Source organism: Homo sapiens, chromosome 10, assembly GCF_000001405.40.
Source record: "Homo sapiens chromosome 10, GRCh38.p14 Primary Assembly".
Lineage (NCBI taxonomy): Eukaryota > Metazoa > Chordata > Mammalia > Primates > Hominidae > Homo > Homo sapiens.
In genome coordinates, this window is record NC_000010.11 from 100,173,888 (window position 1) to 100,188,276 (window position 14,389).

The following is a 14,389-nucleotide window of genomic DNA, read 5'->3' on the forward strand; positions in this document are numbered from 1 at the left end:
CTTACTGAGGGCAGGGATTATGCTTACACTGATTTATAACCATTACTGTATCTTAATGCTTCATACATGGCAGAAATATGAATTTTACTTCCTTGTAAGAGCCTCAGCTTATCAGTTCCCTCTAGGAGTTCACAAATGTCACCCATAGTAAGCTACAAGAGTATTTTATTTTGGCAGAGATCTAAAGTCAAATTGAGAAAGGTATTCTATAAATCACCATAGCATCTCAAATAATTGCTGAATAAAACAATCCAATGAAAGGAGGAACAAACTCAAAGCTCTCAAAATCCCCAGAGAACTTCCCTAGGAAAAGAACTTACCTGTATAGTGAGACCTGGGGCCATGAGGTTTAAGTCTTTCTGCAGAGCTTGCTTCAGGTTTTCATCTATTTGATCTGTTTTTTAAGCCAAGAACAACAGATCTCATGATAGTCAATTTTTTTTACATTGTATTCATAATGAAACAAAACTAATCATTATTAGACCTAAAGTTTCCACAGTACTATTCTTTTACAGAGCTTAAACTGCCTTTTCTTCCCTTTTGTGTGGGAAAAAAATTGCAAGGAATTATCTAATAAAGAAATTAAGGAACGAAGATGACAAGCAGATAGTCTGTTTATCCAATAAGTTTACCCACTAAATGTATTACTTAACTATGGATAAGCTTTTTTACTGGGTAACTTATTAGACTTATTTACTGGATAAACAACTACTGGGTAAAATATGTTGATCTAATAAATGGAGAATCTGGATCTCTAGTATCTTAATTCAGGGCTCTTACTCAATATGTATCCTCATTCTCAAAGAAAAACAAATTTCTATGTTCAGTAAATCTTTACTCAAATTCCCAAATAACTAAACTTCATTTCCATGGATCTCAGCCTCACTGTTATTTTGGATTTAAAGAGAGAGAGAGAGAGAGACAGAGAGAGAAGCTCATAGAAAAGTATTTGAAATATACACAGCATGAACACTTGGGCTTGTAACTATGCACTTTCTATTCACCTCAATGGTACTTTCGCTATTTAAATGACTGGTGGTGAGACAAAGCAGGACCCATCAGTTTCCTCACATGCCACTTCAGTGGTTGACAATCACCAAAGAGGACTCAATTGGTAGATTTTAAATTGATTACTCTTGCTTATTCCTTCATCTTAGAAATTCACTAAAAATTTCAGGAGGGAAAAGTGAGCTACCAACAGCAACAACTCATTCCCTGGTCAGAACTTCCACTATCATAAATGAAAAGTAAGTTGTACAGAAGTGAGTTAAGAAAGCAGGGCTGATACTGCAATCCTTAGAAAGGCCTTTTGTAAACTCGTCCTTGGTTGGCACCTAGGAACTTGGATTTGTAGAAGGGTCCCACTATCCCCAGAGCTAATACAATTGACTTGCTGTGAACTGTTTATACAATGTGGCTTATGCCAAACACCTGCATTCCTTCCAGGAGTCTGGAATTTTTATGTGGTAGGCAGAGGGTGCCTACATAATCAGCCCCCAGTGAAAACCCTGGGCAATGAGTCTCCAATGAGCTTCCCTAGTAGACAACATTTCACATGTGTTGTCACAGCTTGTTGCTGTGGGAATTAGGCACATGTTTGACTCTTGGAAGCCTGCACCTGCTTTCCTCTGCATTTTGCTGGTGTGCCTTTGCCTCTCGCTGATTTTGCTTTGTACCCTTTGGCTGTAATAAATCTTAGCTGTGAACACAACTATGTGCTGAGTCCTGTCAGTCTCCTACCAAATCATCAAAAATGGGAGCCTCAAGACACAGGTTTCTAAATTTTTCAAATTATCTATTAAAACATCAACAAAGCTAATTTTCACTAAGTTATTACAGTAAAAACAGAATACAGTCTGAGTAGTTTTTCCAATCTCTAACAAGTTATATAAAAAATTTTAAACTTAAGATAAAAAATATTTTAAAGACAATTGCTCTATGATAAATTCAGAAGAAATGCTTAAATAGCACTAAGGTTTACCAATATAACCTCAATAAGTAAGCTGAACAAAGATTTCCAATTGGCTATTTACATACATAAGAATTAAGACACTTACCAAACAATTCAATGTAAACTTCCTGAAGTGTGTGGGCACTGCAGAACTGGTTCAGCTCATGGTGGATTTTATTGAAGATTAAGGTCTTGTCATAATCTGCAGTATAGTTCCTCACGATATCAAACACTGAAGGAGAGGTACAACCCATGTTTGTTTTACCCAACAATGACACAGGTACCTTCAAATTCAGCCAGGGTAAAAGTCAGGGTGATATATTACACATGAGGAAAAGTGCCAACAAAATAGTGAAACCAAAAACCACAACTAACAAATCTTGATGTGTTGCTTGTGCTCAATTTTCCAAATACCCTTGCATTTGTAATACTAATGCCAAACACCTGCTGGTTAGCCCATCAAACAGGGGCTAACTTTAAAGTCCACACTAAAGTATCCATTATTTTGGAGGTAATAAGGAACTATCAAAGGTTTCAAGCAAGGGCATGACAGTCAGATTTACGCTTTGGCCAGCAGTGTGAAGATGAACTGAGAAGCATAAAGATCAGAGGCAGGGAAAGCATAAGGCAATTACTGCAAAAGTTTAGCTAAGAGGTAAAGAGAGACTAGGCAAACTGAGGAACAGTAGAAATAAAAGAAGAAAGCAGTTGCAAAAGACCGTTTTTAAAAAGGCAATTTTTTAAAGTTGTTAAAACATTAACTGAGCTGGGCTTTATATCAGGTAATTTACATAAATTAGCACTGAATTCTCCTAAATTTGCATATTAGGAAACTAAGAAACAGAGAATTTTAGAAATGCCCAAAAGGTACATACTAGACCACGTCAGAACCTGTTCTTTATCTACAAAAACATGCTGCTTTCTACTTCTGTCTTCAGATCCAAGAATTTGCTCCACTGGCCTTCCCATGTGGGATATTAGATGCAACTGGATTTCAAATCCGACTGGGCGCGGTGGCTCATGCCTGTAATCCCAGCACTTTGGGAGGCTGAGGTGGGTGGATCATTTGAGTCAGGAGTTCAAGACCAGCCTGGCCAACATGGTGAAACACTGTCTCTACTAAAAATACAAAAATTAGCCTGGTGTGGAGGCATACACCTGTAGTCCCAGCTACTAGGGAGGCTGAGGCAGGAGAATTGCATGAACCCAAAAGGCAGAGGTTGCACTGAGCTGAGATCATGCCACTGCACTCCAGCCTGGGTGACAGAACAAGACTCCATCTCAAAAAAGAAAAAAAATTAATGGACAGGCCATTAATAAATACTTAATGACTAAATCATTTGCTTGATCATTTCCCAAATGAATTATATCTAAATAGTTTCCTATTTAATCTCTGGTTAAAGAATCATCAGTCCCTTCCCTTTTTCAATCATAATCCATTCCAGTGATTTGTAATCAAGGAAAGGAGAGGAAAAAAAGACAAGGAAAATGCTTACTCTCTGAAAAATATAATCCAAATGCCCTTGACAGTAATACGCCTGCTCTCTACTCTGAAATCTTTTCACTATTTGTGCCTGTACCGGTTATGTGAAATTTATTATGACCTTACATCCCAATATATCCTTTTTTAGCTCTGTATTATGTCTTCTCAAGTAAAATTAAAACCCCTGAAGGCAAAGGCTGTAATTTCATCTTTTCAAATTATTCTTGCCAAACACAATATTCTGTACATACTAGACATGCCAGTTTTATTAACAAGCATGCATATAAGACGGTATATCTTTCTTCAGGGCTTCTAATTAAGTTTTTGATTACAACAGTACCTACCCACCCCATACCTGTAGGTTTTCATCTTTTATCAAGAAAATGCTTTCCCCACGTTGAAGGCTTTCAGACTGCTTTGCAAATTATAGCAAATCTCAACTAGAAAATACTTCTCTTTGATGGCAAATCAGTGTGGGCCAAGGAATTGATCAGTTACAGATTTCTAACACCCAAGGAAATTATCTCTCATCCTGACTGGATAAAATACTACTTTCCTATTCTAGAAATAACCAATGACCATTTTGCTCTTAGAAACACTAAGCTCAGAGAAGAGTAACTCATACAGTTGCAGAAAGTCAACTCTGTCCAGAACTTCTGACCTATTTTTGCCTCTATTCCCCAGAAATTTATTAATCAGTGATCAATGAAGTCATAAAACTTTCAAAGTACCCTTCTATTCCTCAAAGAATCTCTCAGCTATAAATCCTCTGGCTATAACTATAAAAACCACAGGTAGATGGGTAACATACCTGCATAAGGAGCCAACATATTAACCACTTCTATTCGGTCAATATAGATCATGACCCCACCACTAAAAACAAAGAAAAAAAGTGTGAACTACTAAAGGCAATCCATAAAACACAGTTATAGATAGACCTGGGGAGAAGCTGATAATGAAACATACTAATATTCACTTAAAACACAGAAAGAGTTCGCTTCCTTTTTCATAGCATTTCTGTCCCTCTATAGATGTCAATGTCTTTTTTACACTTGTAATAGTCATTTAAAATAAGTAATTTAAAAAATACCTTGAACTTCACATTCTTCTTTTGATACAATTCAATGCAGTGATTATACCCTAGAAATAATTTGGGCCCTGCTTGCCTTTCTTTCCCTAAACCTCTTTAGGACAGCAATTCTCAAAGTGAGGTCTTCAGACCAGCAGTATCAGCATCACCCAGGAACTTTTGTTAGAAATGCAAATTCTCGGGCCTCACCCCAGACCTATTGAATCAGAAACTCTAAATTAGATGGCATTTAACACTACAGATGAGAAGACGGTGGGATGATTAATTTTAAACTATGTTTTATTAAGCACCTATTCTGGGCCAAGTTCTGGTTAGGCACTTCATATACAGTAATTCTAATCCTTACAACAACTCTGCAAGGTAGATTTTACTGCCTTTATAAAGGAGGAAACTAAGCTTTAAAGTGTCAATAAAGGAATGTGTTGGGGAAAGAGGTATATAAAAACTGTCTGTACTTTTTGGTCAATTTCACTATGAACCTAAAACTGCTGTAAAAAATAAAGTCTTTAAAAAATAGTCAATAAAGCAGATGCAGCAGTGCTAATACACAGTTAGGTCTACTTGCTCTAAAACTCCAGTTTTTTCCAATAATACCATAAGAACAATAATGGTTCTTAAGATGGAAAAGCTCCTATTTGGAGATAGGCCTTTGCTCAAACAATGCTCAGATCAGAAGTCCCCTTGGGTTAACTATCATGCCTATTTGAGATATGTCTAAGTGATCATAGCTGTAGGAACAGAAACTCTGTCTGAGCTAAAGGGAGGCTCGTAGGCAAAGAGAAAGCTTACCTTGTTCCACAAGGCACATTTTTAACTTCATCAGTTTGTAGTGTTGTCTAGGGAGGAAAAGATATCTCATCAACACTCAAGACACACATTGTCAAAAAACTACTGGTACCAGAGGCAAATCTCTGGAAAGCTGCTGACAGTAAGTACAGCAGAGATCCATCACAATTTCAGTTCCCAAAGATTAGCTCTCAGAACAGTCATTTCTTTTTGTATTCTAGTAGAAATGAAAGACTTGAGACAGAAAATATTTTACAGCAATTTTTTTTTTTTTTTGGAGACAGAGTCTTGCTTTGTCACCCAGGCTGGAATGCAGTGGTGCAATCTTGGCTCACTGCAACCTCTGCCTCCTGGGTTCAGGCGGTTCTTGTGCCCCAGCCTCCCAAGTAGCTGGGATTACAGGTATGCACCACTACGCTCAGCTAATTTTTGTATTTTTAGTAAAGATGAGGTTTCACCATGTTGGCCAGGCTGGTCTTGAACTCCTGGCCTCAAGTGATCCACCCACCTTGGCCTCCCAAAGTGCTGGGATTACAGGCGTGAGCCACTGTGCCTGGCCTACAGCGAATGTTTGAATTAAGATTCACTGGGAAAGGTTCAATGTTCAGTCTGCTAATAAGTAGAAAACTCTTCCAGAGTCCCTTACCTGCCTGGAGCTGGCCAGGGGTTGTAAACAACACAGCTTGCTCACATAGATACTCTGGCTACAACTTGCACTCTGAACTTTGATTCCACTGCTAATATTACTATTTATGTTGAAGATAAAAGAGATTTTATGCATACAAGTACTCTAAGACTCAAAGCTGCCCTTGAATCCAACAGCAACCTTTCTTCTCTAAAGCTGTGGTCAACATTTTAGTTTAATACCTAGTGATCTCTCACATGTCCTATTCAGTTTCCTTTTTAATAGAAGTGCTACCACCAGTACTGCTTCCTCCTGGTGAACCAACAATCTGGTACTTAATTGCTTTGCCCTTGTCACACCTTTGTTCAGATCCAGAATGAATGACTTCCTGCTGTACTCTAAGGCCTCAAATAGGTCAGCACCTAATGAGTACATTCTAGACATACTGCATCTTATCAAGCACAAAGCAAAGGAAAAAGGAATCACAGTCCCTGTTTCCAAAGAGTTCACAATCCAGCACAGGAGACAAAATGTTACAATGCAATCAATCCATCAACAGGTACAAAACAAAACAAAACAAAACCAAAAACACAAATTATAAACTGAACTGTTAAGTGGTAAATTACAGAAAGTGAAAAAAATAGTAGTTTGAAAAGCTCTCTGAGGTGAAGGATTTATAAGCCAGGTCTAGAGTGGGAGAAATAAGAACAGATGAGGCAGAGGAACATCTTAAGCTCAATAAATATCCTACTGAAATACACACAGTTGAAGACAACATGTGTATAGGCGAACGAAAGTAGATAGGCTTGCCTGGAGCAGAAGGGACAATTTGGATGAAAGATGAAATTCTGACAAGAGACCATGGTAATACTAGACAGAGGGCCCTGAATGCTGGCTGGGGAGTTTGGGATCTCTCTAGTTCACCTTATATACAGTCACAAAACGAACCATTCAAAAATATGTTTACTTAATTCCTTTTCTCACATGTGATGTAGTTCTCATTCTCCATCTTATAGGGAGGTAAGAAAACCAGCTGGGAGGCTAAATAATTAATTTATTTAGATTAATTCAGTAAAGGCCATGAAAGCTGTCAATCCAGACATAATAGAGGAGGTATCTGATACTTGGTTGATATAAAATTCCAGGAGGGGAAAGAATAAAAAATAACTCTTAGGTTGAGACATTAGAATGACAGTAAACATTGGTGGCAGTTCTAGGTTAAGGGGATTGATGAAGAGACAAATTATATTTATTTCCTTTATAACATTAATTCAGTTTCCATATTCCACACCAACTTTAAATACACGTTCCTATTTAAACCAAAAGGATATTCTCTAGCCAATTTTCAAACTCAGAAGAACTAGGAAAGGGTTCAAATGTTAAATCTTCCATTTAACACCCTATCTTTATGTACTTTTATATTTCTTTTATGTCCTCTTAAAAATTACTTTCCCAGTATGACAGAAAATTTATTTAAAAAGTGAATCTATGGTTACTTTATGAAGGCTGAAGGTTTTCATATAATTTCTCCATTGCTTTTTCTTTTTACATCATATATGGAATTTCACATTTATATACATTCCTTTCAATTGCCAAGTTTGTTAAACCATTTGTTTATCTGGACTATGTCTTCTAATATGTTCCAAAAATTCCTAAAAATAAATTTATGTCTTACTCTCTTAAGAACACTCTTTTTTTTTTTTTTTTTTTGAGACGGAGTCTTCCTCTGTTGCCCAGGCTGGAGTGCAAGGGTACGATCTCGGCTCACTGCAACCTCGGTCTCCCAGGTTCAAGCGATTCTCCTGCCTCAGCCTCCCAAATAGCTGGGATTACAGGCACGCACAACCACGCCCAGCTAATTTTTGTATTTTTGTAGACACAGCGTTTGACCAGGTTGGCCAGGCTGGTCTTGAACTCCTGACCTCAAGTGATCTGCCTGCCTCGGCCTCCCAAAGTGCTGGGATTACAGGCGTGAGCCGCCACGCCCGGCCAAGAACACTTTTTAAATATGGTTTTATTAATATAATTATTTCCTAGAATGTTACCGTTTTACACATAAAGAACATTCCTATTTAGTCACACTGGCTGGCTCTAGCCCATGTAAAACTTTTTTGTAGATGCGAAGTATTTTAGTTTACACTGAAGTCTCTGTACTAATTTCATTTACATCTCTTATGATAGTTTATTATTAAATATATACACACACTATATTTGTTATATATATACACAATTAAACTCCAAAATCTGTTTACTATTATCTATATCTCCTTTATTTATATTTTTGCATCAGTATGACTTAACATACTAAGCATGAAGGCAGAGACAGATCTACCTGGTTTTGAACAAGATCTATTTGTTAGAGCCTTGATTTTTTTTTTTTTTTTTTTTTAAGAGACGGAGTTTCCCCATGTTGCCCAGGCTGGTCTCAAACTCCTAGGCTCAAGTGATCCACCTGCTTCAGCCTCCCAAAGTGCTCGGATTACAGGCATGAGCCACTGCGCCGGGCCTTAGAGTCTTGATTTTTAAGGGTCTAATGCTGCCATTGCTAACATTATTATAGATTGTTTCGGCTGTTGATGAGGTTATGTAATTAAAATTCCTCCTTTCACAGAAGACTAACTGAAGTCTATGACAGTTAAGCAATTTTTCCAAAGTCATGCCACCAACTGGCGGTAACGCTGGGTCCCCATGTTCATTACACCACATTGCTTCCTGAGAAATCAGCTCAATTTAACAACTTCCACCATAAATAGAAAGCCAGAAATATAAATGTGTTACAACTCCTGCCTTTAAGAAAACTGGAGCCTTTCTGGAAAGAAAACACATAAAAAAACTTAGCAAACAATGCAAGACAACAATATTAAAGAAAATAAGACAAAGGGCCAAAATTTACAATATAGACTTTAAGAGCTATAGATCAGAAGAGGAAGAATCTGGGATGAGCCTTTAAAAGCCTGGCAAGATTTAGACAGGAGAAAAGGAATGGAGAGTGAGATGGCAGATAAAGAAGTGATGGCATGAACTAAGGAAAGAATGGGTAAAATAAATATGGAACAACATATGGAAATCAGTCTGATTAGGGGAAGAATACATTTCACTTCAGTAGACACAATTCTTTCCCTAAGCCATCTAAAAGGGGACAGGAAGAAAACCTAGGGGATTTAAGAATTTATAATTAAACTCTCACTTAGCAGGAAGCCTAGACATAAGATTACAAGATTAAATAACACAGAATTTTCCTGAGTCCTGAAAAATTAGCAGCAGATGGCAGACAAACTTCTGAATCCAAAGATTTATGATCACACTGGGCTTGCGAAAGTGGTCACAGCCTAATCCTGGTTTTGTCATCTTGTTACATTGAAAGATACTTATTTTATTGTCTCCCATGGCCAAGACACTTTTCGAGGATTAGACACTTATTTCAAATATCCCGGGATGCCATCAAAATATAACATTCACTAAGGTTCCACATAAAATTGTGCTTAATATACCAGGCAAAAAAACATGAGGCAGAAAGGCTGTGTATAAAAATTTTGATCCTCCATGTTAACAGTAGCCCAGGAGCCTGCCTCTATGGAAACTAAACACTGTTCTAAACCACATAATCACTGGTTTGTATGTCTAGTTGTGTTTCTAATTCTTACTTTTATTGTGACAGCAGCAACAGAAAATTTGCTATATACCACGATATAGATGGTAGAAGTCAGTCCTTCCAAGCTTCCTGGTTCATACCTTTAATTCATTTCAAGTAAGTGAGGTGGTTTAACATCATAACTTGTGTTGTAACAACTGTACTCTGAACGTTAACTTCTGCATTTAAGTAAATACCACCATCTGCTTAAGCAATAAGGAAATCTATCTCCACCCACAAGTGTGGTAACTCCTGTCATGCCTGTCTATCTGGTATGGAGGCTTCCCCTAGGAATCACTCACCTGCACAGATCTGAACGTAGTAATGAAAGGCAACATGATATGATAGCCTGGTCCACTGGGGCTAGTTAGTAAAGCTCCTCCCCTGCAAAAAGATGTTTCAATTTGACAAAATTATAAAAAGAAAAATTATCTTTCCAAATCTAAAATGCTATAATAAATACTCACTCTTGCTCATGCTGCTGACCTACTAAAGCCTCACTAATATGAATTGCTCATAATGAACAACTGCTTAAAATACCTCCACACCTAAAAAGGGAAAAAGATCAAATTAAACTGCCAATGTTACACCTTGTTTCATAAGCTCAACCAACCGTACCTCTGGGTCTCCAGCACTGCTCTAAGGTTCAAAGGATTCTCCTCGGTCTTTAACCTTCTGAGAAATATTTGTTTAAAAAATTCTAATGGCTTTCAGTAGAGGTACATTAATAGTACATAACAAGAGCCAAATCAAAATATATAATACATTTAATCACCAGGTTGAAAAAAAGACAATGCAAACTTTGAAGTAAAGAGAAAATTTCTGAGGCTTATAATTCTTTCGATCTATCTACAAGGTAATTAAAATACTGGGAACATAAAATTTCTATATAAAAACAAAAAATTAGCATGAAAAGATGAAGGGTGACAAGACTATACAAATAAATAGCATAAGGGCTTGTTAACCAAATCCTGGAATGTGAAAACTATGAAAGCAAGCCCTGGAAATTATAAAAAGGAGGCATTTGGGGAGCAAAGAAAACAAAGTCCTATTTTGCACCTTGTAAATTCATAGAACTTAGCTACCGGTCTTGAAAATATAAACACATTTGCAAGGTCATAATAACAAGGAAAGATGAACTGTTTGAGGTTCATTACTAATTCTTTGAGTCATTCCTTGAAATGTCCTTTCTCTGGTTTTACTGTCAGAAAGACAATGCTTTTAAACTGGAAGGAAATCTGGACTAATCTGTAATTTCTTATGTAGAGCTCCATCTGCTAAGATATACCATTAAAATTGCTCTTTTTCTAGGATTCAGGATGGATTTGAAAGTAGAAATATCAGTTTTGAGGGATAGTGGAAACAAGCAAAAAGTTGACGCTCTTTTTGAATACACCATTATCCCAATTTCTCCACAAACTGGCCTCTCTTACTAGTCTGTATCAAAAGGAACTTGTGGTAATTAGGCTGAAGGAAAAGCTAAGCGAGCTCAACAAGAGAGCAACAGCTCCCACACCACTCCTGTCCCCAACTTGAACAGCAACAGTAAGGAGGGAGGAGCATGGCCCATCAGTGTTGTGCTTATGTCCCTGGAGGTCCAGGGACATAAGCACCATCACAGTCATCATGGTGTTACAAGACGTAACCAGACACTGGAAGCTTTTAAATGAAAAAGTCTAAGAAACAACCATAAACATACAGCATCTACAGCGGCAAACTAAAGCCTGTACAGTTGAACGAACTATAATTTATCCATCTCTTCAGTTAGAGGTAGAGTGACTACTTCCTTTCTTCCTTCTTCATTTTTCTACAAATAATTGAGTTTGCTGTGTATAGGAATAACCGTAGGGAGACTTAATCTCTGCAACAAAACGAACATAGCACTAAAACTGTCCAACATCTGGAGGGTGCTCCGCAAAAGCCCGCTTCGACCCCCGTGCTCTCCCTAGAGATGGGACATGCGCCCCCGAACGTTGCAGAGGGAACAACTTCCCAGACTCCACTCTGGAGTACCCTTTTAATCTGCTCTAGAGCCCTAACTGACTGCACATGCCGCTCACCTGTAGTACACAGCCAGATGGCCCTCCTCAATCTTGTGGATGGAGGCGTAGAGCAGGACAGCCACCAACCCCACCACTGCAGCCACCAGAACCCGGGCTTGAGTCATATTCATTCTCGTTCCTCCTGGGAGCGGGAGAAAAGGACCCTCAGTCCCGTGAGTGACAGGTCCACCCCCTCCAGTTTCTACCCTCTCCCTCCGGAAACTTGGCGCTCTCTCGCAGGCTGAGCCGGGGAGTCCAGTACCCCTGTCCCCTCATTCTTCCCTTCTGGCTGAGCCCGCTGACCCCTTGCCAACTCCTCCGCCCCCGGAGGCCAGTGGGCCGCCCCTGCTCGGTGAGCTTCCTGAAACTCCCTCTCCCAAGGGTCGCTCCCGGGTGGAAGGCACTAACTGAGAAGAAGCCCAGCCGCAGGCTCGCGAGGAAAGCCGACCCCTCGGCCGCGCCTCACCGATCAGTGACGCATCGCCCCCGCCCGCACGTGCAGCCGACTCCCGCGCCGAGCCAACCGCCGCCAACAGCCGGCCCCGCCCACTCGCCCAGCACTGCGGCTGCGCGGGGACGCACACGGCGTAGCCCCGGCCCGCGGCTAGTGAGACGGGGAGCGCATGGGACAAAATTCTCCTAGCCGCGGGCCGCGCAGGCTCCTTTGGAGGCAAGTCGCTTTCTGTACACTGCTGGTTAACTGCTTCGGAAGAGGACAGCCCGCAGTCTGGAGTGAGCAGCGAAGCAGAGAAAAGGAGACGCCCTTTCGGACAAGGGACTGGTTGGTTTGTTCTTGTGCAGAGAACCCACTCGCTCACTCTCAAACGGTAGCTGTTCGGTTTATTTGTCCTTTTGCAGTGTATGCGGAGCCCCACTGTGTGGCACGCACTTGCTTCCGGCAGAGATCCTGCCCTTCAGGAGCAACTAAACTTGTTGCAAATAAAGTGCTGTGAAAGTTCAGAAGAGGAAGATATTAGATATAACGGCATCATTCTCTCGTTTTTTAAGTGTTCCTATTATGTGCCAGAATGCTGGTCCAGTGAGGGCTTTATGAAGGCCATCCAGACTACAGGAACAGAATTGCTAAGCACATGGGGCGGGAGGCGGAGGGAATCCTCCAGGGAGACCAAAGTAAGTACTTCAGTTTCCTTGAAGGCTTGTGTGATGGGAAGGAGTGCTATGGTAGGCGTCACTACATATTCTGTTCGTTTTAAATTAAAAAACCATGGGCACATATTGCCAAAAATAAAAAAGGGAAGGAAAAAGGTATAGTTGGGAGATAGATGAATACAAGAGAAATTAAGGACATTAATGGTTTAAGCCTTGAAAGGCTAGAGGTGGAACTATAACTGGACAAGGTGGACTAGGGTTGTAAAGTCCTCTAACCCAGCGGACGGGGTGGGGGTGTGTGTGGGTTGGGGATGAAACTGTTCCACTTCAGATCATCAGGCATTAGATTCTCACAGGGAGCCGGCAAACCTCACATGTGCAGTTCACAATAGGGTTCGCGTGCCTATGAGAATCTGATGCCACTCGCTAATCTGACAGCAGGCAGAGCTCAAGGCGATAATGCTCACTCGCCCGCCGCTCACCTCCTGCTATCCGGCTTGGTTCCTAACAGGCCACTGTCTGGTTCCGGTCCGCGGCCCAGGGCTTGGGGACCCCTGCCCTCTTGGGTAGGGAAGTATGGGAAAGCAGTGCTTTAGGGCCAATGAATCTATAAAACGGCTGAAAGTGGAGACAGACTGTTGGCAAGGAAGTCAAGTGGTTAGGAAACTGCAGGCCCAGGGTTACTTAGTAGTGGAAGTAAGAAGAGGTAAATAGAATCAATCCGTCTTCATTAAAGCAAGACTTCCCAGACCACTCTACCCACACCCTTCAATAAATACACTTACCTGTATCATTCATTTGATTTTTATTATCTAGGAATGTCTGGGACCTTATCTGTTCCAAATAAATGATATTTGCAGAGCTTAGCTATTTTAACTTCCAAAAAGCAAAAAGAATGGAAAATAACTTGCTCCATACCCTGTTTTCTGTAGACATTCTCTGAAGTTTTTCATAATATTGCTTAAAGAATGAAATGTATACAATTCACAACTGCCATTCCCCTCTGAAAAGTTGTTACCCACCAAAAAATAGTGGTCCAACTCATGCATCAAAAGCAAGTTTGGGGATCCCACTATAATAGTCTGTTCTGACTCACACCATCTGCCCAAATTATATAGATCAGGCTGCCCTGACATAACCCCAGCCACACACCAGCAGCGGCCCCCACGCTATAACAAATCTTTAACCAATTATTAAAATATTAGAAAATGCATGACCATTGAAAATAATCCTTAACAATAATTGCAATGCTTGGATGGCTTGTAATGTTCAGACTCCCAGATAAGCACTTTTACTATACTGCCTATGTTGTTTCAGATCTTGCCATCTAGCTTAATACCCTCCAAGTAACAGGTACCCAATAAATGTTTATTACTAAAATCTTCTAAAACCAGGGAAACAAGAGAGAGACTGCCTATTATAATAGATGACGAACAGTGATATGTGATGACTAAAAAATTTGGTTGACTAGGAAAATGATACCACTAGCAAAAATGGGGATGGTGGGGCTGTGACATCAGTTTATAGGGCAAGAATCGAGCATGTTTTTTAGATGTAGATAGTGGTGATAGGACATCTCAGAGGAAAACACTCTTAAAGAAGTTGCCCAATACTACCTTTACCATAAGTCCTATTATTCCTAAGGAAAGTACAGTTATTCTATGCTCTTAA

General features: G+C 39.8%; 2 protein-coding genes across 16 annotated transcripts in view, besides 3 other annotated features; both read right to left on the reverse strand.

Moving 5' to 3' along the window:
- The window catches only part of ERLIN1 (ER lipid raft associated 1), a 35,936-nt gene extending 23,794 nt beyond the window's left edge, over positions 1-12,142 (reverse strand). For 3 of the 14 annotated variants that reach the window (NR_144756.2, NR_144758.2, NM_001100626.2), the window contains exons 1-7: positions 12,075-12,142; positions 11,627-11,750; positions 9,869-9,950; positions 5,314-5,360; positions 4,246-4,307; positions 2,058-2,183; positions 321-394 (exon numbers count right to left, since the gene is read on the reverse strand). Coding sequence is in view for 8 of the 14 variants with exons in the window: in NM_001100626.2 (NP_001094096.1) it covers positions 321-394; positions 2,058-2,183; positions 4,246-4,307; positions 5,314-5,360; positions 9,869-9,950; positions 11,627-11,739 (504 nt within the window). In the remaining 6 variants the exon portion in view is untranslated. Of the gene's footprint in view, positions 1-320; positions 395-2,057; positions 2,184-4,245; positions 4,308-5,313; positions 5,361-9,868; positions 9,951-11,626 lie in introns of all 14 variants that reach the window. The other 11 variants (NR_144759.2, NM_001347861.2, NR_144760.2 and 8 more) reach the window with 7 other exon arrangements.
- Positions 1,269-1,338: an enhancer, noted in NCBI's record as "active region_3882". NCBI's record gives its function as "activates an Ori minimal core promoter by ATAC-STARR-seq in GM12878 lymphoblastoid cells {active_cell/tissue: GM12878}" and the evidence as "EXISTENCE:reporter gene assay evidence [ECO:0000049][PMID:35858748]".
- Positions 12,040-12,189: a silencer, noted in NCBI's record as "silent region_2703". NCBI's record gives its function as "represses an Ori minimal core promoter by ATAC-STARR-seq in GM12878 lymphoblastoid cells {active_cell/tissue: GM12878}" and the evidence as "EXISTENCE:reporter gene assay evidence [ECO:0000049][PMID:35858748]".
- Positions 12,360-12,509: an enhancer, noted in NCBI's record as "active region_3883". NCBI's record gives its function as "activates an Ori minimal core promoter by ATAC-STARR-seq in GM12878 lymphoblastoid cells {active_cell/tissue: GM12878}" and the evidence as "EXISTENCE:reporter gene assay evidence [ECO:0000049][PMID:35858748]".
- The window catches only part of CHUK (component of inhibitor of nuclear factor kappa B kinase complex), a 43,278-nt gene continuing 41,320 nt past the window's right edge, over positions 12,432-14,389 (reverse strand). For both annotated transcript variants that reach the window (XM_047424542.1, NM_001441063.1), the window contains exon 21: positions 12,432-12,555. Coding sequence is in view for 1 of the 2 variants with exons in the window: in NM_001441063.1 (NP_001427992.1) it covers positions 12,523-12,555 (33 nt within the window). In the remaining variant the exon portion in view is untranslated. The remainder of the gene's footprint in view (positions 12,556-14,389) is intronic.